This window comes from Homo sapiens, chromosome 6 (assembly GCF_000001405.40).
Source record: "Homo sapiens chromosome 6, GRCh38.p14 Primary Assembly".
Lineage (NCBI taxonomy): Eukaryota > Metazoa > Chordata > Mammalia > Primates > Hominidae > Homo > Homo sapiens.
The window spans coordinates 42,696,337-42,722,831 of NC_000006.12; the positions used below are offsets into that span (position 1 = coordinate 42,696,337).

The 26,495-nt window shown below is 49.1% G+C and overlaps 1 protein-coding gene across 2 annotated transcripts, besides 2 other annotated features; it reads right to left on the reverse strand.

The window, feature by feature from the left end:
* PRPH2 (peripherin 2) lies at positions 262–26,261 on the reverse strand. Of its 2 annotated transcripts, none has more exons than NM_000322.5 (3): positions 25,418–26,261; positions 8,029–8,275; positions 262–2,171 (listed from the first exon to the last, which is right to left on the reverse strand). In NM_000322.5, the coding sequence occupies exons 1-3, from the start codon at positions 25,996–25,998 to the stop codon at positions 1,959–1,961; spliced, it is 1,041 nt and encodes a 346-aa protein (NP_000313.2). In that variant the 5' UTR covers positions 25,999–26,261; the 3' UTR covers positions 262–1,958. The 2 variants fall into 2 exon arrangements, 1 of the variants encoding a protein (NP_000313.2); XR_007059288.1 differs by lacking the exon at positions 262–2,171 and adding an exon at positions 15,422–15,603 and having other exon boundaries at positions 8,190–8,275.
* Positions 6,922–7,122: a silencer, noted in NCBI's record as "peak5809 fragment used in MPRA reporter construct". NCBI's record gives its function as "represses an SCP1 promoter by STARR-seq MPRAs in K562 erythroleukemia cells {active_cell/tissue: K562}" and the evidence as "EXISTENCE:reporter gene assay evidence [ECO:0000049][PMID:32103011]".
* Positions 13,859–14,444: an enhancer, noted in NCBI's record as "NANOG-H3K27ac-H3K4me1 hESC enhancer chr6:42677933-42678518 (GRCh37/hg19 assembly coordinates)". NCBI's record gives its function as "activates a minimal SCP1, AML or CMV promoter by ChIP-STARR-seq in naive H9 embryonic stem cells {active_cell/tissue: H9 hESC(naive)}" and the evidence as "EXISTENCE:reporter gene assay evidence [ECO:0000049][PMID:30033119]".

Genomic DNA, 26,495 nt, shown 5'->3' on the forward strand with positions numbered 1-26,495 from the left:
GTATTCAGCTCTGGTTCAAACTCCAGCAAATGCTGAGATTATTTGGATATAATAATAGTCACTGTTGTAATAGTCACCGTTCTTACAGGTAAGAGATGGCAAGATGGAGAGATGTGATACCCAAGCCATGTTTATAACAACGATTGTTACCAATGCTTCCCTTAGGGTGGGTTTCTTTTCTTTTTTGGCAAATACTAGCGGTAGTAGGGGATTCTGATATATGTTGTTGAATGGGCTTAAACAGTCATTTAACAAAAGTGATTTTCATACAGTATGAATTTTAATTATCTATTGACAGCTGTTAACAGCATAGTTACACTTGTGGGCCTAGAGCAGCACTTTCACCGTGGTTCTCAGCACTCTTGAGAGATAGCAAGAGCTCAGGGACCTTTGCCAAAGATGGCTGGCTCAGCATTTTTTCAGTATGGATCATTCCTTGGCCTCAACGAGATTCAGAAATCTAATTAAACTTGGGACCAACGTCTGACAGGGTGTCCAAACATCTTGGATCTGGTCTTCTGCTTGGGGGAATTAAGCCCAGAACATACCCCAGCAGCACCAGAAGTCTTATTTTCTCTACACTGAAGTTCTTAGGACAGCAGAGAACCCAAACTCAGTCCAAAGTAACCTATTCCCAAACACCATCGGTCAGAAGCAGAGGTAAGTTATGGACTGTTCCCTTTCTGGTTTTTGCCTTCTGGCCTCGGTCTCCAGCCAGGTAGGAACGAGCTCTCTTGAATGTTCATCCAACTGGAGGAATTATGCTGGGCCCTGCCTTGGTCTGGTCACCAGGGCTTGGGAAGTCAGCAAAATCATTCTCTCCTTCCCCTGAAAGCTTCTCTTTCCTAAAGAAAGTGAAAACTCCTGTATTTGCTAGCTCAGGAAGATGGGCTATCTCAAAGAATCTCCTTTGATGCAGAAGCATTCCAGAAATAGTGTTTTTCAAGATGGGTATCTGGGGGGAAGAAACGGAAGAAGCTCCCAGAGGATTCCTTGCCCTTTGCTGTGGACAATTAGTGTTGTCCATGGGGCTGTGATGGCCACCTGTGTGGGTGTCCCTGGGCCCACCAAGAGCTGAGGCCTGGTCTCCAAAGGGTGGACTCATGTCTGATTGTTGCTCCTCTTCCACAGCAGGGCAGCAGCCTACCCCACTGCTTCCACCGATGAGCCACAGGAGATCACCTGGCACTTTAGGGGTGGTGTGGTGCTGGGACACGCCAACAGCCTGACTTCCTCAACCCGTGGTTCACTCCAGACTCAGTGACCGAGGGCATGTGAATGGGACACAAAAGCAGGCCTTTCACTGTGTTTTTGGTGGGGGATAAAATCCCCTGCCTTGAAATTCTCTTGCTCCATGATTAAAGAATCCTGTTTAGAGCCCTCAATGCCTTAAGAGTCCATTATTCTTAGAAAAGCGTAACTTTCCCCCAACTTCTGGCATTAAGCAAACGGCCAACCTGTCAATCTTGGCATTAAAAAAAAAAAAAAAAGACAACATGGCCATTTTTCAGATTTCTGTGCTTATGCACCAAGTGACACTTTGGATAGAGTGAAGCAACATGGAGCTCATAAGAGGTAAATTCTAAAAGGGGAGCAGCCCTCAGATACGGCCAGTGGCCATAGGGTGGGACTAAATCCGTGTGAGAAAGATGGGTCCTGGGCTAGTCGTCTGAGACAGCCCCCGAGTCACCAGGAGGGCATATCCTAGGGCAGCGGGCCTGAAGGGAGCTTCACTCACATTCACATTAGCTTCATTCACATTTTGGGTCAGTCATTCAACAACTGTGTGTCAAATGCTTTTAGGGACCCTAAACTTAAATTCCACCGTCAGGGAGAGTCTCTGTAAGATGGTGCCCTCCTTGGGAGATTCAGACTTTCGGAGTTGGATGAGGGGGAGATCCACGTTTCTTGGAGTGCACTATTTCTCAGTGTTCGGGAGGGGAGGGGCCCCAGGGCCCTCAGCCAGCCTCTGGGGCCTGGCCTGCGTCTGCGCCCTCGGCTTCCACCTGGTTGCCCTTGCCCAGCTTCTTCACACTCTCCAGAAAGGCCTTCCAGGTCTCCGGCACGCTCCTCTCCAGCAGCCAGCCCTGGCTCTCGCTCTCAGATTCCTCGGGGTTGGACACACCATCCAGCGACGTCTGTAGGTAGCGCAGCCCAATTGTAATGGTCACCTGGTGGTGGGAGAGGAGATTTAGAGGCAATCTGGGAGAATCGCTGGGAGCTGGACCATTAGGAAACCACAGGAGCCTCAAATTGAGGGTCCCAGAGAGGACTCAACCTGAGCACTGTGGAGTGTGGGTTGGTGACAGCCTGCCCCACGCTGCCCTGTCCTCAGTGCTCAACACACCTGACTCTTCTCCAGCCTCATGTCAGACCCCTCTCCTCCTCCCTTTCCAGCCATCCTGGGCTGCTTCGGATTCGCCCATGCCCCCTACTTTCTCCCCTCTAGGTCTTTACCATCTGCTATGCTCTCTGCCTAGAACCTTGCTCCTCTCCACGTTCATCTGTTAATTCATCTTCAGCCCTTGGTGAGCTCCCCGGCAGCTCATCCTCCCTCCCCATCCCCTCGGGTCGCCCCCATCCCAGGTGCATTATTCCTGGGTGCCTTCACCTCTACACCCCATTGCTTGGCACATATTGGGTAGTTCAGTAACTGCCTTGGGTGGAATTAAGAGGTCACCTCCTTTTCTGCATCTGATGTGTGGTACTTCTTTTTTTTTTTTTTTTTTTTTTTTGAGACAAGTCTTACTCTGTCACCCATGCTGGAGTGCAGTGGCGTGGTCTCAGCTCACTACAAACTCTATCTCCTGTGTTCAAGGAATTCTCATGCATCAGCCTCTTGAATAGCTAACGTTGCAGGTGCCTGCCACCATACCTGACTAATTTTTGTATTTTTTTGTTGTTATTGTTGTAGATATGTGGTTTCCCCATGTTGCCAGCTGGCCTCGAACTCCTGGCCTCAAGATCCACCCGCCTCGACCTCCCAAAGTGCTGGGATTACAGGTGCGAGCCACCATGCCCAGCCCTTCCATTATTTTGATGAGCACAGTGATGAATGGATGCTGGTAAAAAATAATTTGGATTTGTTCACTAGCATTCACTGTGTGGCAGACTTGGTGCCAAAATGCCTGGGTTCAAACCCGGGCACTTAGCCAGCCGTGTGACCAGGAAACCTCACTTTATTCATCCGGTTTGCAGATTTTCAGATGAAGTGGTGCCCACCCCGTGTGGATACTGTGCCACTTTAATATGTGTAAAACACACAGGCCAAGTGCAATGGTGCATGCCTGTAATCCCGGCACTTTGGGAGGCCAAGGTGGAGGGAGGATTGCTTGAGCTCAGGAGTTCGAGACCAGCCTGGGCAACATAGCGAGACCTCATCTCTACTAAAAATAAAAATAAAAATAATTGCCGGGTGTGGTGGCGCGTGCCTGTAGTCCCAGCTACCCGGGTACTTGGGTAGCCAAGATGGGAGGATCTCATGAGCCCCAGAGATGGAGGCTGCAGTGAGCCATGACTCCACCACTGCACTCCAGCAAACACCACCACTGTACCTAGTGCACAGTAAGGACCAACAGAAGAGCAGAAGAGTCAGCTGTAGCTGATAATTAGCTTATTGTTTTCACTTTTTTTTTTTTTTGAGATGGAGTCTCGCTCTGTCACCCAGGCTGGAGTGCAGTGGCACGATCTTGGCTCACTGCAATCTCCGCCTCCCGGGTTCAAGCAAGTCTCCTACCTCAGCCTCCCGAGTAGCTGGGATTACAGGCGTCAAAAACTTGGCACCACGCCTGGCTAATTTTTATATTTTTTGTAGAGACAAGGTTTCGCCATGTTGGCCAGGCTGGTCTCAAACTCCTGACCTCAGGTGATCTGCCCGCCTCAGCCTCCCAAAGTGCTGGGATTACAGGCGTGAGCCACCACACCCTGTTTTCATTTTTCTATAATATATTCCGTATATTCCGTTAGCCACTTGTTTCTGTACAAATTCCCGGCTTGCTCTCCTCCACTTCTTTGTATGGCATAGCAAACTCTACAAGAGGATGAAGCTGCTCCCTGAGGGCAGGGATGGCCCTGACTCATCTGGCTCACTCAGAATCCCAGCACCTAGAACAGTACCAGGTAGGGGGAGGGCCTCAGTAAATCTCTTTTGAATGAATGCTCTGGGACATTTTATAATTATGGCAGTAGATAATAATAACTGATAGAGTTTTAGATTTATGTTACTGCTATTGTCAACTGGAAGTTGAATAAATATTTTTACAGCAGAAAAAGTCACCTCCTCCATGAAGTCCTCTTGATGTGAACGCGTCCACTCTGATCCCCTCCTGCTTTCCTGAAGGAGGCTCTCTGCACTGTGAGTTTTGCACTTGGTAGTGATCCTCCCTTTGGCTCATAAATTAGACATCATCTCCTGACTGGATTGTGAAGCCTAGGCAGGCACAGCCAAGATCAGACTCCTAACATTATGCTCAGCCACCCTTGGCCCATCAGACCTCTGTCCATTAAAGGCCCCAAGTAAAAGGGGCATTTGAATGCCCTCTTCCCAATAAGCTGATTCTTGTCTAATGCAGTCCACTAGATTCCTGTAAAGGTGGGGCCACTAAGAGGCTGCCAATGGAACCCCATTCATTTTCCCACTGACTTTTCTTTCTTTTTTTTTTTTTTTGGAGATAGAGTCTGGCTCTGTTAGAGTGCAGTGTTGAGATCATGGCTTACAGCAGCCTTGACCTCCAGGGCTCAGGTGATCCTCCTGCCTGAGCCAGGAGGATCCAGGACTACATGTGTGCACCACCACACAAAGCTAATTTTTATGTTTTTGTTTTTGTTGCTCAAGCTGGAGTGCAATGGCGTGATCTCGGCTCACCACAACCTCCACCTCCCAGGTTCAAGCAATTCTCCTGCCTCAGCCCCCAAGTAGCTGGGATTACAGGCATGCACCATTAGGCCCGGCTAATCTTGTATTTTTAGGTAGAGACAGGGTTTCTCCATGTTGGTCAGGCTGGTTGCAAACTCCCAACCTCAGGTGATCCCCCGCCTCGGCCTCCCAAAGTGCTGAGATTACAGGCATAAGCCACCGCGCCTGGCCGTCATTTTTGTGTTTTTTGTAGAGATGAGATCTTGCTATGTTGCCTGGGCTGGTCTAAACTCCTGGGCTCAATTGATCCTCCTGCCTTAGCCTCCCAAATCCTAGCTAATGCCTGCTAGGATTACAGGTGTGAGCCACCGCTCCTGGCTCCGCTGACTTCTTTTATGCCTCCATCTCTGGGGCTCATGAGATCCTCCCATCTTGGCCATCCGAGTACCTGAGTAGCTGAGACTATAGGCATGCGCCACCACGTCCAGCAATTTTTTTTTTTTTTTTTTTTTTTTTTTAGTAGAGATGAGGGCTCACTATGTTGCCCAGGCTGGTCTTGAACTCCTGAGCTCAATGCTAGTGAACTTTTATGACTTCTTTTATATTCAGTCTTCTTTTTGTGTGTTTTCAGGGAATGTGGCCATCTAAATTTCCAGCAGTATGTTCCTCTCCTCATTCTACCCACCCAAGACTCTGTGTCAAGGAGTCAGCGACCAATAAATAGTCATGAATATGCTGTGTTTGCCTCAGCATTAAAAGAAGGCTTCGGCTGGGCGCAGTGGCTCACGCCTGTAATCCCAGCACTTTAGGAGGCCGAGGTTGGGGGATCACCTGTGGTCAGGAATTCAAGACCAGCCCAGCCAACATGGTCAAACCTCGTCTCTACTAAAAATACAAAATCAGCCAGGCGTGGTGGTGGGCGCCTGTAATCCCAGCTATTTGGAAGGGGCTGAGGCAGAAGAATCACTTGAACCCAGGAGTCTGAGGTTGCCGTGAGCTGAGATCGCGCCACTGCACTCCAGCCTGGGCAACAAGAGTGAAACTCTGTCTTAAAAAAAAAAAAAGGCGGCTTCCTGGACATACAGTCACCCTTTAGTTTCATGTGGTGAGTTAGAGGAGGTGTTTATCAGCCACAGGCAGGATGCACTGGCTGATAGCATTAGGACAGTGACTCATTTAAAGGAATCTTTGGGAATCTCCTCAATGGAAAAAGCTTCCTCACCAAATCTTCCTGGCTTTGTACATTGGGATTTTGAAGTTTGGATTTTCTGCTCTCAAGGTAGCTCAAAGCAGCTACCCTGAGTCACCATGCCACCTCATTTACTAACAGGCTCTCATTCAACACCTGAGCTGTGCCTGGCATATGGGTACATGTTTAAGAAATATCTCTGACCACGTGTGGTGGCTCACGCCTGTAATCCCAGCACTTTGGGAGGCCGAGGCCGAGGCTGGTGGATTATTTGAGGTCAGGAGTTCAAGACCAGCTTGGCCAACATGGTAAAACCCCATCTCTACTAAAAATACAAAAACTGGCTAGGCGTGGTGGTGCACGCCTGTAATCACAGCTACTTGGGAGGCTGAGACAGGAGAATTGCTTGAACCTGGGAGGTGGAGCTTGCAGTGAGCTGAGATCGTGCCATTGCACTCCAGCCTGGGTGACAGAGCAAGACTTCATCTCAAAAAAAAAGAAAGAAATATCTCTTGGCCAGATGCAGTGGCACACACCTGTAATCCCAGCACTTTGGGGGACCAAGGTAAGAGGATTGCTTGAAGCCAGGAGTTAGAGAGCAGCCTGGGCAACATAGCAAGACCCCATTTCTACAGAAGACTCTACGGAGTATGACTCAGGGCACCTGTTTTCAGCTACTCTGCATGTGCCTATAGTCCTAGCTACTCAGAAGGCTGAGGTGGGAAGAGCCCTGAGCCCAGGAGTTCAAGGCTGCAGTGAGCTACGATCATGCCCCTGCACTCCAGCCTGGGTGACAGGTGAATTTTTCTTCTTGTCTCTAAAAAAAATAATAATAAACAATTTAAAATAATAAAAATAAAAAATGAATATCTCTTTAACCAAAGAGCGAATTCAGCACACTCACCGAGGATTTGCTTACATTGCAAGCCCTATAGCTACAGAGAAACTGAGCGTTGCAGATAAGATGAACCCACACATAACTAGACTAACAGGTAAATGAGGACCAGCATCCCAAGAAGCACAAATCCAAACAGTACCCATTTCCTGAACACCTGCACATGCTGTTCATGTTGCCTCCCAATAGTCCCCAAAGCTAAGTGCTGTCACCCCATATAACAGAGAGGTTAAATGACTAAGACCTCGGTACCAAAAAGTGGGGACACAGGATGAACCTCCAAAACATGCTAACTAAAAGAAGCCAAACGTAATATGGGTCCATTTATATGAAATGTCCAAAATACATAAATCCAGAGAACAGTTGCCAGGGGCTGGAGGGCAGGTTGGGAGGTGGTGACTGCTTCATGGGTGTGAGATTTTCTTGGGGGCTGATGGAAGTCTTTTGGAACTAGGTAGAGGTGCTTGCACAACATTGTAAATCAACTAGATGACACCAAATTGTTTACCTTTTATAAATCTCACCTCAATTAAAAAAACAATTGTCGGTCGGGTGCAGTGCTCACACCTGTAAACCCAGACTTCGGGAGGCCGAGGCAGGCAGATCACGAGGTCAGGAGATCGAGACCATCCTGGCTAATGCAGTGAAAACCTGTCTCTACTACAAATATAAAAAATTAGCCGGGCATGGTGGCACATGCCTGTAGTCCCAGCTATCGGGAGGCTGAGGCAGAAGGATCCCTTGAACCCAGGAGAGGGAGGTTGCAGTGAGCTGAGATCATGCCACTGCACTCCAGCCTGGGCAACACAGAGAGACTCAGCCTCAAAATAAAAAAAAAATAAAAAAAATAAATTTAAGTGGTGGGAAAGAAACCAAAAAAGAAATAAATGAATAAATAAATAAATAAATAAATACAAAAGGTGGAGGCCCTGGGTGGGGTTCAAGCCCAGACTGATCTGACCCACAGCTCCACTGAAGGCTGTTTCCAAAGAGGGAGGCATGCTCTCCAAGCCTGGCTCCGCCCCCATTAGACCCAAATGGGACCGGAGGCTCTCCTTACCCTCTACCCCCAGCTGGCCCAGGGCCTACCTCGAAGAGCCAAATGAGGAGCGTGACGACACCCATGGAGTTCATGAGGCTGCTGTAGTAGCTCAGCAGGGCAGCCCTGCAGCCACGCACCCACAGGTTGAGCTCCTCCGTCTGGTGGTCGTAACTGTAGTGTGCTGAGTTGTTGGTGATCTGATACTGGATGCAGGGCCGTGGCGAGCTAGGATTGCAGCAGCTGAAAGGGACGCCGTCCACCAGGTACCGCCCATCCACGTTGCTCTTGATTCGACTTAAAGGGAAACAGACAGCTGGAGATGGGCTTCCCGGGCTTCTCAACAGGGGCCACTTCCTCCCAACCCCTGCCTCTGGAAACCTAGAATAGTCATTCACTCGCACACTTGGTATATATTTGCTGTGCGCCCGCTACGTGCCAGTCACTGTTCTAGGCGCTGAAGACAAAAAAATGAATAAATGCCCCTGCCTTCCTCGACCTTGAGGTAGACGGTAATCCAAGACCCAAGTCAATAGGGAGTATAGAAATTCACCCAACCACTCTGTGCTGCCAGGCGCTTTCTTGGGGCCATGCCTGGTGCATAGGTGGGTAGGAGGAGCAGCAGGATGGGAGCTGTTGATGGACAAGCATCTGGCTGCCACTGGTGATGCCCACAGCTCCCTCACCAACCTCATCTCCCCCTTACAGGTCACTGGTGGCCAAGGCCCTTTCCAGCCAGGTGTTTCCAGAAGGCCTGCTCAGTCCCAGGGCCTGTGCAGAGGCAGGGGATGGAGACCCGAGGCAGGCACAGTCCTTGCCCTCGGAGGACTCCACCCCCAGCCAGGTGGGAGCTCCTGACTCACCTAAGGGACACAGCTGCAAGCAGGTTCTCCAGGCTGATGGGCGGGGCTCCCAGCATATCTTCTGCACTTCTATATTTTTGTGTGTATTTGTTTAGCGCTTACCATACATTCACACAGGTTCAGAATTCAAAAGGGATCTTTACAGTGAAAAGTCTCCCCTTCCCCTCAGGCAGGCTGGGTATGTTCTACCTGGCCTGGGGGTGATTACCCAGGTGTTTTATGGTCAAAACTCCCTGAGCTGCACACTTAAGATCCGTGCATTTGGCTGGGCATGGTGGCTCATGTCTGTAATCCCAGCACTTTGTAAGGCCGAGGCGGGAGCCCAGGAGTTCAAGGCAGCAGTGAGCTATGATCACACCACTGCTCTCAGCCTGGGCAACAGAACAAGACTTTCTCTAAAAAAAAAAAAAAAAAAAAAAAAAATATATATATATATATATATATATATATATATTTGTGCACTTGACTGGGTGCTTGTCATCTAAATAAAAAGTTGCAGCCAGGCGCGGTGGCTCACGCCTGTAATCCCAGCACTTTGGGAGACGAAGATGGGCAGATCTTCATCAAGGTCAAGAGATCGAGACCATCCTGGCCAATATGGTGAAACCCCGTCTCTACTAAAAATACAAAAATTATCTGGGCGTGGTGGCACGCGCCTGTAGTCCCAGCTACTCGGGAGGCTGAGGCACGAGAATCACTTGAACCCGGGAGGAAGAGGTTGCAGTGAGCCAAGATCACACCACTGCACTCCAGCCCGTACGATACAGTGAGACCCCGTCTCAAAAAAAAAAAAAAGAAAAAGTTGCATGTAGGCCAAGTGCAGTGGCTCACACCTGTAATCTCAGCACTTTGGGAGGCCCAGGTGGGCAGACGACCTGAGGTCAGGAGTTCAAGACCAGCCTGGGCAACATGGTGAAACCTCATCTCTACAATTAATAAAAATACAGGCCGGGCACGGTGGCTCAAGCCTGTAATCCCAGCACTTTGGGAGGCTGAGGCGGGTGGATCACGAGGTCAGGAGATCGAGACCATCCTGGCTAACACGGTGAAACCCCGTCTCTACTAAATATACAAAAAATTAGCTGGGCGTTGTGGCGGGCTCTTGTAGTCCCAGATACTCGGGAGGCTGAGGCAGGAGAATGGCGTGAACCCAGGGGGCGGAGCTTGCAGTGAGCCGAGATCACGCCATTGTACTCCAGCCTGGGCGACACAGTGAGACTCTGTCTCAAAAAAAATAAAAATAAAAAATAAAAAAATAAAAATAAAAATACAAAAAAATTAGCCAGGCGTTGTGGTGCATGCCTGTAGTCCCAGCTATTCGGGAGGCTGAGGCACGAGAATCACTTGAGCCCGAGACGCAGAGGTTGCAGTGAGCCGAGATCACGCCAGTGAGACTCTGTCTCAAAAAACAAAAAAAAAAGAAAGAAAGGAAAAAGAAAAAAAAATTGCACGCGAAGAATGCGTTACATAATAGACTTTTAGAACATAATAGAAAGCATAACTGTTTCCAATAGAGATTATTTTAAACAATGTTCATTGAATTGGTCACGAATCTCTTAAAAGATGTCCATCTTTTGCTTCTAAATAAAATCTCTTTAATATAAAATGCCTCTCACTCCTCATCTCTCAGCCTCCAGGTCCTGACCGCTATGGCCAGTTCCACCAGAGAGAGGCTTCATGCATGGACAAGCAAACATGTTTTCATTTTTCCTGTTCTTTTTTTATTACTGCAAATTAGAACATTATATACATACTGTCTTGAACCTTTCTTTTTTCCCTTAGCAATATCTTGGAGATCTTTTTTTTTTTTTTTTTGGCATGGATGGGGGATGGAGTCTTGCTCTGTCACCCAGGCTGGAGTGCAGTGGTGTGCCACCATGCCCAGCTAACTTTTGTATTTTCAGTAGAGATGGGGTTTTGTCATATTGGCCAGGCTGCTCTGGAACTCCTGATCTCGAGTGATCCACCTGCCTCAGCCTCCCAAAGTGCTGGGATTACAGGTATGAGCCACTGCGCTCGGCTGAGATATTTTCGTATCTGTCTGTGGAGTGTCCTGGATTTTTGTTTGTTAATGAGCTGCATGGTATTCCCATTGCGTGGATGGCACATGGGTCCTAGCCAGTTCCAGACTGATGGAAGTTTGGGTTTTTCCCAGTCTCTCGTTAATACAAACATGGACATCAGTCATTTTGCATATTGTGACTATATGGAGCAGGTAAATTCCTTGAAGATGGATCCTTGCATCAAAGGGTGATCTTGCCAGATACCTGCCATTTTTCTCCTCTGGTCTCTCCTGCTGGGGGCTGAGGTGGGGGCGCGGTTCACAAAGCCCAACCAGCCATGCTCAGGAGAACCTGTCCTCCACAGCCACATCCACACAGGTCAGACTTTTGATCTTTGCCAACCTAATCTTTGAAAAACAGTATCTCAGAGTTGTTTTCATTTCCATTTTTCTCATTATGAGTGAAGTTGAGCGTCTTTTGGTGTGCTCAAGGGCCACTGGTGGTTCCATTTCCATGAACCATGTTGACTTCCGCCTATTATGATTAAGACTTTCTAGAAGGGCTGCATGAGGTGGCCTGGGTCATGGCAACCATGTTTCCACACGCCCTGTAATCCCTGCCCTCTACTTCGTGGGCAGAACACACTGCCCAGAGACCACATGGCCCTGGGTGGCATGGGCAGCACAGATCGGTGACAAGAGCCGGACAGCCTGGGTTTACTCCTGGCTCGCCCACATGCCAGCTCCATCCCTCTGGACAAGTTCCTTAACCTCTCCCTGCCTCTGCTTCCTTATATTTGAAACAAAGGATTACATGAAGTGATACATGTAAGAGTGCTTGAAGAGTGCTGGTATTAATACATAGTAGCCATGCGCTGTGAGCAAAAGCCACCTCACTGGGCAGGTGGCCGAGCAAGAGCCATCAGGGGTGGTACTCTGAGCACCTGGGAGCTGACATCAGGTTGTAAGAACAGAGCCCACCACGCCATATCATATCATGGGAGAGCCCTCCCTGGGGAGTTGGCCGTGCAGGTTCTACCAGCTGTGGCAAAGAAGCTGTCAGCTCCTTGAGGGCAGGATCGTGCGGGCCACCCTCCATGGTGGGCCTGACACGGAGCACCTGCCCGCTGGCACTGCCTGCCCACCACTCAAAGCCCCACTCCAGCCATGTGCGTGGGGAAGGCAGAAACTGTGTCTTGCTCAGCTGTCCTTCTGCAGCCCCTCTCTGGGCACCGGGCTGTTGGTGACGGAAGTGGGGCAGGGGTGGGAAGACAAGCTGGAGCAGTGTGAGGGGGGCCTTCAGCTCGGGCCTCCCGCTCCCCTCTACTGGCCCTCTGGAGGGGCCAGTAGCCCTGGACACACTGAGCAGATGGCATCTCTGCAGTGGTCTCTCCCTTCTTCCCCCAAGACCTTCCCCAAAGTGTCCTCCTCAAGGCTAGGGGCCTCCCAACCCAAATGCTGTCTGTCCCACCTCCTGACCTACAGGCTGTCCCTGGAGCCTTCCCCTCAGTACAGTGTCCCAGCTGAGCCATTGCCAGTGTCCTGTGGACAGGGTGGGGGTGATTGAAAGCACACCACTGAGTCCTAAATATGTATTTGGGAGCCATGGAGCTTAAACTCTGTGGACCTGCGTGAGCTGGGAGTGATAGCAGCTGCCTCTCAGGGGTTATGGGGGATATAAATGAGACAATTCGAGTCACGCATTTGACACAGGCTGGACATGCTGGAGGCCTCAGAAAATGTTGTCCCTCCTTCCGCTTAGAGCCATTGGATAAGACCTGGAAAACCATCGGATTGTCCTACAGAGGAGCAAGTGGGGCCCAGAGGAGGGCAAGGCCTCGCCCAAAGCCACACAAGAAGTCGGGGTCCAGCCGGGCGCGGTGGCTCACGCCTGTAATCCTAGCACTTTGGGAGGCTGAGGTGGGCAGATCATGAGGTCAGGAGTTCGAGACCATCCTGGCCAACGTGGTGAAACCCCGTCTCTACTAAAAATACAAAAAATTAGCCGGGCGTGGTGGCGGGCGCCTGTAATCCTAGCTACTGGGGAGGCTGAGGCAGAAGAATCACTTGAACCAGGGAGGTGGAGATTGCAGTGAGCTGAGATCATGCCATTGCACTCCAGCCTGGGCAACAGAGTGAGACTCTGTCTCAAATTAAAAAAAAAAAAAAAAAAAAACTTGGGTCCAGCCCACAGCAGTTGCCCACTGGTCCCATTGGAGTTCCCCACCTCCCTTGTCCCTCCTGACTTGACCTTTCATTCATTCACTCACTTGATAAATATTTGCTGTGCACCTGCTACCTGCCAGCTGCTATTCTAGGCGCTGAAGACAGAGCAGTGAATAAATGCCCCTGCCTTCCTCGATCTTATGGCCTAGAGGGTTGAGGTAGATGGTAATCCAAGACCAAGTCAATAGGGAATATAGAAATTCACCCAACCACTCTGTGGGGCCAGGCCCTTCCTTGGGGTCATGCCTGGAGGGTAGGAGGAGCAGCAGGATGGGAGCCGTTGATGGACGAGCATCTGGCTGCCATTGGTGACACCCCAGCTCCCTCACCAACCTCATCTCCCCCTTACAGGTCACTGGTGGCCAAGGCCCTTTCCAGCCAGGTGTTTCCAGGCCTGGAAGTTAAATTTCCTGGAAAACTGTGTGTTTTCTCCCCTCTTCCCTGTCCCAGGAGTCCTTTCCTAGCCACCACCACCTACCCTCAGGTACCTACCAGGTGGCCCTAAGGTGGAGCAAACCTTGCACACCCGCCTCATGCACACTAAGGTGTCTGTGATGTGAGGGTCAGGCCTAAAACTGTGTGGGCTGAGGCCAGCAGAGGCTCTGAGCCACCCTCAGTCTGCAGGCTGGGCTTGCGGACATTCCCCGTCTCCCCACCTCGCCTCCCTGAGCCCCCAGACAAGTCACCCTAATGGTCTCCACCAGGCTGTCTCCCCTCACACTGGGGCTCCCTGAGTCAGGGCTGTGTCTCCCCCTCAGACTGGGGCTCCCTGAAGACGGGGCTGTGTCTCCCCATCAGACTGGGGTTCCCTGAGGACGGGGCTGTGTCTCCCCTCAGACTGGGGCCCCCTGAAGATGGGGCTGTCTCCCCTCAAACTGGGGCTTCCTAAAGACAGGGCTGCGTCTCCCTCATACTGGGAACTTCCCAGTGTATTCCCAGGGGCAACATCCAGGTCAGCCTGGGGGAAAAGGCCAAGCTTGGTGAACGTTGGGACCTGCCTGGGTCACCAGCCTGGGAACTCCTGGGGTCTCTCACTTCTGGAGCTATCCCTCCCCCACTCCAAACATCATCTTGTTTACTCAGTGCTTGCCCTCATTCCAACCACAGATTAAGGCTCCTCTCACCCTCTTAAGACAAAGCCAGGCAGAGGAGAGCGCCTTAGTGGTGAGCCGGCTATTTATATCACAGCGTGTTTCCCAGGCTACGAATTTCACTCTGCGCGGAAGGGGCCGGGGGCGGTGGAGGAGGAGTCACTAGGGTTTGAAAGGGTCTTGATTAAGATAAGAACTATGTTCTAGGCCACTCTCCCATAAGCAAGGCACAAAGAGCCTGGGAAAATGATCACGTCTGAGTTTTTCCAGAAAAACCAACATAATTTAGTAAGTGAATCAAATTAGTAAAGCCAGCCATAGGGCAATGAGCAGGGGTATACCTGACAGTGGGTCATGCCAAGCAGAACGCTGGCTGAGGGACACCTGTGAGACCTTGAGAACTGGCCTAACCTCTCTGAGCCTGAGTTTTCTCATCTAAGAAATGACATTTTAAACACTCGACAGGGGATGGTGGAAATTAAATGGGATCATACACGTGGAGCATTTGGTACACACTATGTGCTTAGTATGCTTTGATGATTGCTTTTTTGTGTAGTGCTGTGGTTTGAATGTGTCCCCCAAAGTTCCTGTGTTGGAAACGTGAGGCCCAGCATGACAGTGGTGAGAGATGGGACCTTTGAGAGGTGACTGGATTACAAGCGCTCTGCCCTCATGAGTAGATTAATGCCATTATCATGGGAGTGGGTTCCTGAGGAAAAGGATGAAATCGGGCCCCTCAGCAGATGCGGGCCCCTCCACCTTGGACTTCCCAGCCTCCAGAACAGTAAGAAATAAATCTCTACTCTTTATCAATTATCCAGACTCAGGTATTCTGTTATAGCAGCTCACAGTGAAGTAAGAAAATAAGTCACTGAGTGTGAGGTACTAGACGGTGAGGGGTGACATGAGGAGGAGACACAGCCCCGTCCTCAGGCAGCCCCAGTCTGAGGGGGGAATGCAGCCCTGTCCTCAGGGAGCCCCAGTCTGAGGGGAGATGCAGCCCTGTCTTCAGGGGACCCTAGTTTGAGGGAAACACAGCCCCATCCTCAGGGAGCCCCGGTCTGAGGGGGACACAGCCCCATCCTCAGGGAGCCCTGGTCTGAGGGGAGACATAGCCCAGCCCTCAGGAAGCCCCAATTTGAAGGGGAGACACAGCTCTCTTCAAAGAGTTCCCGTCTGAGAGGGGAGAAACCCCATAGAGTCAAGTTCTAATCTTCTCCTTGAGATGTCTACGAATTGTTTAAGAAGAGCAAGCAGGTACCTGTAGTCTGTGGGTTCCCTGGGAAGAATGGTGAAGAGCAAGAGCTTGGTGCCAGCTTCTCCCTCAGACTGGGGACCCCAGGCTGGGCCTTCCTGGCTGGTAGTTCCTGGTTCCAAAATGTCTGAGCTCCCGCATGTTCTACCTCTCACCCCAAGACACTGCAGCTCTGCTCATCCTGCAACCTTTAAAAGAAGTGTTGTAAACTGACTGAAGACCTCATGTCCTTCCTCATGTGCTACGGTAAGATACACAGAGCGGCACTGTAGGAAATGTTCTTGCCACAACTGAGCCTGATCCAACCATACCTCGACCCAGACTACTGGTTTATGAGGAAATACAGGGGACAGAAGAACAAGTTAGACAACACCATTTGGCTGCAATTGCCCAACTCCAAACTATGGGGGATTCTGCAGGACACGTGGCCCAGTTTCTCTCACACATATGGTATGAAAAAGGGGACAGTTTTCTAGTAAAACAGACAGGAAACCAAACAACCAAATGCAAAGCATGGACTTGGTTTGGATCCTGAATTGACCAACTGTAAAAAGCATTCCGAGACTATCAGGGAAAACTGAACATAGACTGGGTATTGATTGATATTGCCATTAAATCTGTTGACTATGACTGGTCTTGTGCTTATGTTCAGCAGAAACAAAAGGGCAAAAAACAACTAAAGCCTCTTTATCTGTTGGAGATGCCTATTAAAGTATTTACAGGTAAAAGGAAAGTATGTCCAGGATTTGCTTTAGGATATTCAGAAGGGGAAAATGTGTTTGGGGGAGGGTAGTATAGATGAAACAGGCAAAATATTGATATTTGTTCCTAGGTGATGGCTAGGTGATAGGGACGGGGTTTCACCATGTTGGCCAGGCTGGTCTTGAACTCCTGACCTCAGGTGATCCACCCGCCTCAGCTTCCCAAAGTGCTGGGATTACAGGCATGAGCCACTGTGCCCAGCCTGTTTTTTCCTTTTTTTTTTAGAGACCTTGTGCTCAAGTGATCCTCCCACCTCAGCCTCCAAGTAGCTGGAGTTACAGGTGTGTTGCCACCACACCTGGCTAGGTGATGGCTACATGAGAATTAATTATAATGAACTCTCTAATTTTGTGAAAGCTTGAGTTTTTTCTATAATAGAAGTCGGAAATGCAATAAAATAAGATAAAAGAGCATCAGTTGAGAACTACAGGCCTGGCACAGTGGCTCATGCCTGTAATCCCAGCACTTTGGGAGGCCAAGGTGGGTGGATCACCTGAGGTCAGGAGTTCGAGACCAGCCTGGCCAACATGGTGAAACCCTGTCTCTACTAAAAATATAAAAATTAGCCAGGTATGATGGTGGGCACCTGTAATCCCAGCTACTTGGGAGGCTGAGGCAGGAGAATTGCTTGAACCCTGGAGACAGAGGTTGCAGTGAGCCGACATGGTGCCACTGCACTCCAGCCTGGACGACAGAGTGAAACTCCATCTCAAAAAAAAAAAAAGAGAAAGAACTACAAATCTCTTTCACTGATACCTTGCTCTGAAAAGACAGAGTCAGTGAGGGAGACAGCATTCCTGGACTTGGCTCCTCCCTCTGAGAGCCTCCTCCAAGTGTAGCAGGAAGTGTGTCCCCCTCTTCCTGGCCCACCCAGGACCACCAGGCCAGGGGAGGGAGATGTGGGAGGTTGAAGCCCAGTGACAGCCCCATTTACCACAGGCGCCGCAGAGCCCGGAATGGTGTTTCTAGTTTCTGTGGGGCCACCTCGTTATTATCTGAGACGTTGGCACAGAAGCACTGGAATCCGAACCTAATCCATCCATGTTTTCCAACCCTGCATCATCTCTGCCCACCCCTTTCCCTGTCCTTCTTGGAGAGGAAATGGAGAAGAAGAAGACAGGGAAAGGCCGGGAGCGGTGGCTCACACCTGTAATCTCAGCACTCTGGGAGGCCGAGGCAGGAAGATCACCTGAGGTCAGGAATTTGAGACCAGCCTGGCCAACATGGAGAAACCCCGTCTCTAGAAAATTACAAAAATTAGCTGGGCGTGATGGTGGGTGTCTGTAATCCCAGCTACTCAGGAGGCTGAGGCAGGAGAATCGCTTGAACCCGGGAGGCGAAGGTTGCAGTGAGCCAAGATCACACCACTACACTCCAGCCTGGGTGACTGAGCAAGACTCCATCTCAAAAAAAAAAAAAAAAAAAAAAAAAAAAGACAGGGAAAGACAGGGAGAAGAGGGAGAAAAGCAAGACTTCCCGTACCCCAAGCAGCCTGGATAATTTGAGGTTTCTGTCACTCAGTGAGCAAACATTCATTTAATGCCGAATGTATGCAAGAGGTACTTTAACATCGCTGGGAAACAGGAGAGTAAGGTGAAAAGAGCAGAATTAAAATCTGACATGCCATATAATGGAATATTATTTCACCATATAAAGGAATTAAGTTCTGATATACGCTACAACATGGATTAATTTTGAAAACACTATGCTAAGTGAAAGAAGGCAGACACAAAAGGACAAATGTTATATGACTCATTCATATGAAATGTCCAGAACAGGGAAATCTATAGATACAGAAAGTAAACGAGTGGTTACTTAGGGCTAGGGGGAGGGAAGGCTAGGGAGTGAAAGCTAAATGGTGTAAGGTTTCCCTTAGAAGTGATGAAAATGTTCTAAAATTGATTGTAATGCTGGTTGTCCGACTGTGAATATACTAAAAACCATTGAATTGCATACTTTTAATGGGTACATTGTATAGTGAGTGAATTATATCTCAATAAAGCTGTTTTTTCTTTTTGTTTGAGACAGGGTCTCACTCTGCTGCCCAGGCTGGAGTGCAGTGGTGCAATCTCAGCTCACTGCTGCCTCAATTTCTTGGGCTCAGGTGATCCTCCCACCTTAGCCTCCCAAGTAGCTGAGACTATAGGCACACACCACCACACCTAGCTAATTTTTGTATTTTTTTGTAGAGATGGGGTTTCACTATGTTGCCCATGCTGGTATCGAACCCCTGGGCTCAAGTGATCCATCCACTTCAACCTCCCAAAGTGCTGGGATTACAGGTGTGAGCCACCACATGTGGCCGAAGCTGATTTTCTTTTTTTGTCTCCCCCACTTCCTATTGTGTGATCTTAGACATGTCCCTTAACCTCTTGGGCCTCAGATTTCTCATATATAAAATGGAGCTAATAATACCAGCTGGGTGCAGTGGCTCACGCCTATAATCCCAGCACTTTGGGGCTGAGGTGGGTGGATCACTTGAGGTCAGGAGTTCGAGAGCAGCCTGACCAAATGGTGAAACCCCATCTTCACTAAAAATACAAAAATTAGCCAGGCGTGCTGGCACATGTCTGTAATCCCAGCTACTCAGGAAGTTGAGGCAGGAGAATCGCTTGAACCCGGGAGGCGGAGGTTGCAGTGAGTCGAGATCGTGCCACTGCACTCCAGCCTGGGTGACGGGGCAAGACTCTGTCTCAAAAAAACAAACAAACAAACAAAAACTAAAAAAGATTAAGACAAAAACTTCCCAGGAGGAGTTTTGTGCAGGATAAATGTGGGTCATTTCCCCCTCCCAAATGACTTGGCAACACGGTCATAGGCAGGTTGGGGATGGGGTGCAGTCACTGGGCTACTCCCCTAAGACAGAGCAGCCAAAACTCAGGTGCAGTGGCTCACACCTGTAATCCCAGCAATTTGGGAGGCCGAGGCAGGCGGATCACTTGAGGTCAGAAGTTCGAGGCCAGCCTGACCAACATGGTGAAACCCCGTCTCTACTAAAAATACAAAAATTAGCCAGGTGTGGAGGTGCACGCCTGTAATCCCAGCTACTTGGGTGGCTGAGGCAGGAGAATCTCTTGAACCCAGGAGGTGGAGGTTGCAGCAAGCTGAGATCGTGCCACTGCACTTCAGCCTGGGTGACAGAGTGAGACTCCATTTCAAAAAACAAAACAAAACAAAACAAAAAACTCTTGTAAATTCCCATAAAAATATGGAATTGTTTCTGCCTGATCTTATTCATTAGATCAGGAATCTTCAGGAGCCAGTCCTGGATCTTAAAGATTCCCCTGAGAAATCTCCAAAACCTGCCCGCCCCTCCATGCTTACTGAGGCAATGCACTCTATCCTCAGGTTTCTGGGGGGCCCCAAGGAGGGGCACAAGTGGGGAGGTCCTAGGGAGGCCAGAATGCAAGCACCCAGCTCCTCCTCTCAGGAACTGGACTGAAGATGCCAGAAAGTGAGGACCTCAACTTTCTCTAGCCCAGTCCGGTGAAGTGCCCACTGCACAGAATGGAAAGTTATTCCAGGAACAGAGCCTGCAGAAATGCCTGGAAATCACTGTCACCAGACACCGCCCATGCCCAGTCTGTGTCAGAGGAGGATCCCTGTGGATTTTCTCCAGGCTACCCATGCTCAGACCAGCTCATTCTCCTGGGATCGCTTCCCCACAGTCCTCAGGTCAAGTAGGAGAAAGAGGCTCACCCGAACCTCTTTGTTGGCTCATCCAAATTTGATGGGGAGAGGGGAAACAAAAAAAAGGAGAATTCTGCCTGGCATGGTGGTGGGTGCCTATAATCCCAGGTACTCTGGAGGCTGAGGTGGGATGGTTGCTTGAAACCAGGAGTTCAAGACCAGCCTAAGCAACAGAGTAAGACCCTATCTCTATTTTTTTTTTTTAAGAAAAGAATTTTTTTTCTTTTTTTTAAGGCAGGGTCTCACTCTGTCACCCAGGCTGGAGTGCAGTGGCACAATCTTGGCTCACTGCAGCCTTGACCTCCCAGGCTCAACGGATTCTCCCACCTCAGCTTCCCAAGTAGCAGGGACCACAGGTGCATGCCACTGTGCCCTAGCTAATTTTTTTTGTTTGGTTTGGTTTGGTTGGTTTTTTTTTTTTTTTTTTTTTTTTTGAGATGAAGTTTCGCTCTTGTTGCCCAGGCTGTAGTAGAATGGTGCCATCTCAGCTCACTGCAATCTCCGCCTCCCAGATTGAAGCAATTCTCCTGCCTCAGCCTCCCAAGTAGCTGGGATTATAGGTGTGTGCCACTACACCTGGTTAATTTTGTATTTTCAGTAGAGACAGAGTTTCACCAAGTTGGTCAGGCTGTTCTCAAACTCCTGACCTCAAGTGATCCACCCGCCTCAGCCTCCCAAAGTGCTAGGATTACAGGCATGAGCCACCTCACCGGGCCTTTTTTCTTTTCTTTTTTTCTTTTCTTTTCTTTCTTTCTTTTCTTTTTTTTTTTTTTTTTTTTTTTTGGTAGAGGTGAAGTCTCATTGTGTTGCCCAGGCTGGTCTTGAACTCCTGGCCTCAAGGGATCCTCCTGTCTCAGCCTCCCAAAGTGCTAGGATTACAAGCATGAGCCCGCACCTGGCCAAGAATTTCTTTTAAAAAGATTTTGTGGCCAGGAGCGGTGGCTCATGCCTGTAATCCCAGCACTTTGGGAGGCCAAGGAAGGTGGATCACTTGAGGTTAGGAGTTCAAGACCAGCCTGGCCAACATGGTGAAACTCAGTCTCTACTAAAAATACAAAAAAAAATAAATAGGTGGACATGGTGGCGGGCACATGTAATACCAGCTACTTGGGAGGCTGAGACAGGAGAATCAATTGAACCAGGGGGGCGAGGATGCAGTGAGCTGAGATCGCACCATGGCACTCCAGCCTGGGCAACAAATACAAAAAGAAAAGGATCTTGGTGGATGATAACCTCCCTCTCCCTGCCCTTTTGCCGGCCTCACCTCTTTGCCATCAGAATCCTAGCCCGGGGGGTGCTGCCGAGATAATCCAGAAGGTAAATGCTTACCATTTCTCAGTGCTTGTGATCTCAAAAAATAAATAAATATAACTTACATTTTTCAGGGAAGGGTTTTGGAGAGCCAGCTTTGTCATGTAAACTCACTAAACCCTCCAAAATGAAGCCATGAAAACATGAACAGAAAAAATTTTTTAGTTTTCCTTGGAGGTGGGAGTAAATGCCATTCCACAGTCTCTCATTCATTCCTTCTTTCATTCCTTCTACCAACAGATAAGGGCTGTGCTCTGGTCTCAGGCACTGGTCCTCAGGCAACCCAGCTCTGAGCAGCTTTCTGAACATAATCCCAGGAGCCTCACTTCCCTCGCAGGCCTTGTTCAGTGATCATGTAAAAGTCTGTGGGACTGGGCGCGGTGGCTCATGTTTGGAATCCCAGCACTTTGGGAGGTTGAGGCGGGAGCATCACTTGAGCCCAGAAGTTAAAGACCAGCTTGGCCAACGTGGTGAAACCCCGTCTCTACTAAAAATAGAAAAATTAGCCAGAGGCCAGGCACGGTGGCTCATGCCTGTAATCCCAGCACTTTGGGAGGTCAAGGCAGGTGGATCATCTGAGCTCAGGAGTTTGAGACCAGCCTGAGGGCAACATGGCGAAACCCTGTCTCTACCAAAAATACAGAAAATTAGCCAGATGTGGTGGCTCACGTCTGTAGTCCCAGGTACTCGGGAGGCTGAGGTGGGAGAATCACTTGAGCCTGGGAGGTGGGAGTTGCAGTGAGCCTGGAGAGTGAGACCATCTCAAGAGAGTGAGACCCTGTCTCAAAAAAAAAAAAAAAAATTAGCCCAGCATGGTGCCACACACCTATATAATCTCAGCTGCTTGGGAGGCTGAGGCATAAGAATAGCTTGAACCCTGGAGGTGATGGTTGCAGTGAGCCAAGATTGTGCCACTGCACTCCAGCCTGGGCAATAGAGTGAGACCCTGCCTCAAAATAATTATTAATTAATTAATTAAATAAAAATAAAAGTCTGTGGGAAAGTCTCTCTGCAAAGGTGGCCCTATCAGACTGCACCCTTGGAAGAACACGTAGCCCACTGCAGTATGAGGTCACTGGAGGTTTTGAAAAGGATAAAAGCATTTCAGTTCTAAGAAATTTGTGTGCTAATTCATATATTTTTTTTTTTTCTGAGATAGGGTCTTACTCTGTCACCTAGGCTGAAGTGCAGTGGCATGATCTTAGCTCACTACAACCTCTGCCTCCTGGGCTCAAATAAATTATCCTCCTGCCTCAGCCTCCTGAGTAGCTAGGACCACAGGTGCAAGCCACCACTCCTGGCTAATGTTTTTATGTTTTGGGCTTTTTTTTTAAGAGTCAGGGTTTCATCATGTTGCCCAGGCTGGTCTTGAACTCCTGAGCTCAAGTGATCCTCCCACCTCAGCCTCCCAAAGAGCTGGGATTATAGGCGTGCGCCACTGATCCCAGCCCTAATTGTGTCTTTAGACAAACTTTGTGGAAAGTTAAAGCCAAAGGTCCATTTTTCTCAGGGAAATTTAGCCTAAGGGAAATAAAAGACAGAGACAGAGAGAAGCAAAATGCTCAAAGATGCCCATTCCAGTGTTACTTATAATAGAGGTAAATAAAAATCTGAATGCTTGCCTAAGCATGTACTTTCATTCAGTGGACTTCCTTTTTTTTTTTTTTTCTTTGAGATCGAGTCTCACACTGTCTCCCGGGCTGGAGTACAGTGGCAAGATCTCGGCTCACTGCAACCCCCGCCTCCCTGCTTCTCTGGTTCAAGCAATTCTCCTGCCTCAGCCTCCCGAGTAGCTGAGATTACAGGCATGCCACCACACCCAGCTAATTTTCTGTATTTTTAGTAGAGATGAGGTTTCACTATTTTGGTCAGGCTGGTTTCGAACTCCTGACCTCGTGATCCACCTACCTTGGCCTCCCAAAGTGTTGGGATTACAGGCGTGAGCCACTGCACCTGGCTTCAGTGGACTTCTTATGCAACCATTAAACATGATCATTGTGGATATTATGCAAATGTTATACTATCAGATTACAAAATGGAACACTAAATTGTCTTTTTTTTTTTTTTTTTTTTGAGACAGAGTTTTGCTCTTGTTGCCCAGGCTGGAGTGCAATGGCGAGATCTCAGCTCACCACAATCTCTGCCTCCCTGGTTCAAGCGTTCTCCCGCCTCAGCCTCCTGAGTAGCTGGGATTACAGGCATGCATCACCATGCCCGGCTAATTTTGTATTTTTAGTAGAGACGGGGTTTCTCCGTGTTGGTCAGGCTGGTCTCGAACTCCTGAACTCAGGTGATCCGCCCGCCTCGGCCTCCCAAAGTGCTGGGATTACAGGTGTGAGCTACCGCACCCGGCCCTAAATTGTCTTTATACTATCATTACACTGTATGATTATGTAAATGTTAACAAGACTAGACTGAAACTGAAATGTAGAAAAACTAAAGGCATTAATCAAGTTATGGGTGAGAAGCTAGCTTGAATTTGTTTTCCTATTTTGGCTTCTTTTAATATTACTGCTGTATTTTTTGTGCGTGTAATAGAAGAATTTTTCCAAGTCAGTGGAGTTAGGAAAATTTCCCACCAACAAGTTGGTATGGGACATTGAAGGAGTTTTGATTCAGCTAAATATTTGCCTGAAATTTTGGATCCATTGACCATTGAGAGTGGAGTGACCTAGATAATTCCTTCACTCTGATACAAAAGGGGATTTGGAGTTACCGAGAGATTTGAATACATCTGTCCAAGAACTGACTCTATGCAGGAGACAATCAAGGGAAATGATAGAGGAAAAGATGAAAAGCCCCTTCTCTGTGAGCCTCTGCTCACAGAGGCTGGTTCTACCATCGGCCTCTCCCACTCCCCAGAATTCTGCTTGTCCCCCTGGCTTCATGCCCTCCTCGGGAGATTTATGTAAATCGTGGCATCTTGTGCTGCCCCTGCAGACCTGTCACCTGGGAAGGGCACAGCCCTTTACAATCCTCTCCTGACTGGGGATTTGCAGCAGTAATCTCCATCCACAAGAAAATAAAATCCCAAGAAGTGACCTTCACTTGGACGTCCCTTCCATCTGCAGGGCAGATATAAGCTAGCTATTTGGGCGTCATTAATGTTGTTTTGGGCTTCAAACATGTCCTGCTGCTGGTGCCAATGCCCTGAGTTCAAGTTCCCTTTGGACTTGCCAGCCTCACTGGGAAGAAAAAAAAACCACCCTTAGGAATAACTGAACCCCTAACCTCAGCCAGGTAGGGTCGAGTCAGACAGAAAGAAGAGGTGAGGGAAAGCGGCTGCCTCAAGGCAGGCTGCCCTTTCCCTGAAAAGTCACTCGAGCCCCAGGTTGGTGGGTGTGTTGGGAAGAGCAGCCCGCTGGAGCCAGTGCACAGGCTGTTCCCTCCGACACAGTGGTCGAGAGTCTCTCTCTCACCAGCACCTCCCACAGCCCATCGCAGCATTTTACTTTTACATATGCCAAGAATACTTTAGAAATGCTTTATCACATTGCACTATCATGACTCGCTAAGTAAACACCAGCAAGCATTTAATGAGTACCTGCTGCATGCCAGCTACCAGGCAGGGCTAGGAGGTGACTTCCAAAATTACCTATTCTATTCCAGTGCTCATTTAAAAGATGGGCAAGCCAAAGCGCAGAGTGACTAGTGACCTGCCCAAGGTCACAAGACCTTGAACAACAGAACCAAAACTTCACCCTAGATCTCATGACTTCCCCTTCCTATGCTCTTTCCAACATATCCAGACAAACATCTTGGGAATGGATGCTCAGGGTTGAAAGGTTGGAAAACAAGGGAACTAACTAGGAAATTTAAACTTCTGGGACTGAATCCATCTACTTTGAATGAATGGGACAAATAGCCAAATAGTACCTCAGTGTTTGTGATCTATGAATGACTTCCATCCCTCTGTATAAAGTGGACACACATTGCTGCCTGGCTCTTCATCCCAAGGGGCTCCTATCCAAACAGCTTATATAAATTGATACCTTCCTACCACCTTAGCCAATGTTAGGTTGAACCCTATGAAGTTGTCATTTTTTATGGGTCAAAGAGGTAGAATATTAGCAATTTCATATGGTTCCACCTGATACACCCTCACATACGCAGCAATAAGTTGTGCACCCGATGGAGAGGAAAAGGCACTGGGTGCGGGGAGAGGGGCTGGTCAGAGGCCTGAGCCTCAGTGTCCCCAATATATTCATAGCTCTGACCCCAGGACTGGAAGCCACTCACTCTTTGACTTCTTTGGAGGAAAAGTCCAGGTAGCGATTGCTGATCCACTGAATCTCAAACCAGTCCCGAAAACCGTTGTTGCCGCAGCATTTGAACTCGATCTGCAGCATGTCGATGGTCTTCTTCATGAAACACCTGCCAGGGGTGTCTGTGTCCCGGTAGTACTTCATGCCGTTCTTGAGCCCTTGGCCCAGGGTGTTCTCCAGCGAGCCCCGAAGCAGAAAGCAGCAGAGAGCCACAAGGAAGAGGATGATGTTGAAGAGAACACAGATAGCCAGGTACGGCTTCAGCCAGGGCTTCCATCTGGCATACTTGGCTGGGTCCAGGGCGTCGTAGCAGATCTTCCCAGCCAGCGAGTTGAAGACACAGGATAGCACCCCCATCCCTATCAATGAGTTGGGCACAAAATGGCTCTCAGAATTATTCATCACATCGCTCCTCTTTCGGAGTTCAATCTTCAGGAACAGTCCTAGGCTGAAGATGATGATGCCAGCCAACACGGAGAACCAGTTCATGAGCCAGAGCCCTTGGGCCAACTTGACCCGCTTCTTCTGGTCAAACTTGACTTTCAGTAGCGCCATGCTTGCCAAGTGTAGTCCGGGTTGCTTCCCACAGCACAGCTCCCACCCCAAACCTTAACGAGCCCAGAGGCGGAGACTTAGGGCCTTGGGAAAAGTGCAGATGGCCCAAGCTGTAGGGAGCTGCCCTGGGGGCTACCCATGTCGAGTCCCACTAGCCTGGGATCCCCGTGAATGCAGTAGTGGTGGCAGGGGTCTCGGAATCACAGCTTGAGCAGGGGATAGTCCTGGTCCTGGGCGTTGTTTCTTCAGCGCCCTTCCCAGCCAAGAAGGGGCAGCCTGAACGCTGCAGATTAAAAGTGGGATCCACAAGACATTTTGCTAATCTCTTTAGCCAGGTTCATCCCATTAGATAAAGCCATGCCACTCTCAAAACATGGTCAAAAGCAGCCTCCAGGTACATGCTGAACCAGAAAGCTCTGGGTACAGCTTGGAGAATCAGGAGCAAAGGGCAAGACTGGCCAGAAGAATGGGCTGTATCTGGATGTCTGGCTCAGACC

What these genes read in the sequence shown, in the direction of transcription:
- PRPH2 (NM_000322.5), bottom strand. Translation starts at nt 25,998, where the DNA reads ATGGCGCTACTGAAAGTCAAGTTTGACCAGAAGAAGCGGGTCAAGTTG. An exon ending in TCCTCCAAAGAAGTCAAAGA is followed by an intron (nt 8,276 to 25,417) that starts GTGAGTGGCTTC and finishes TTTCCCTTTAAG; the next exon opens with TCGAATCAAGAGCAACGTGG. An exon ending in TCCTCATTTGGCTCTTCGAG is followed by an intron (nt 2,172 to 8,028) that starts GTAGGCCCTGGG and finishes TCCCACCACCAG; the next exon opens with GTGACCATTACAATTGGGCT.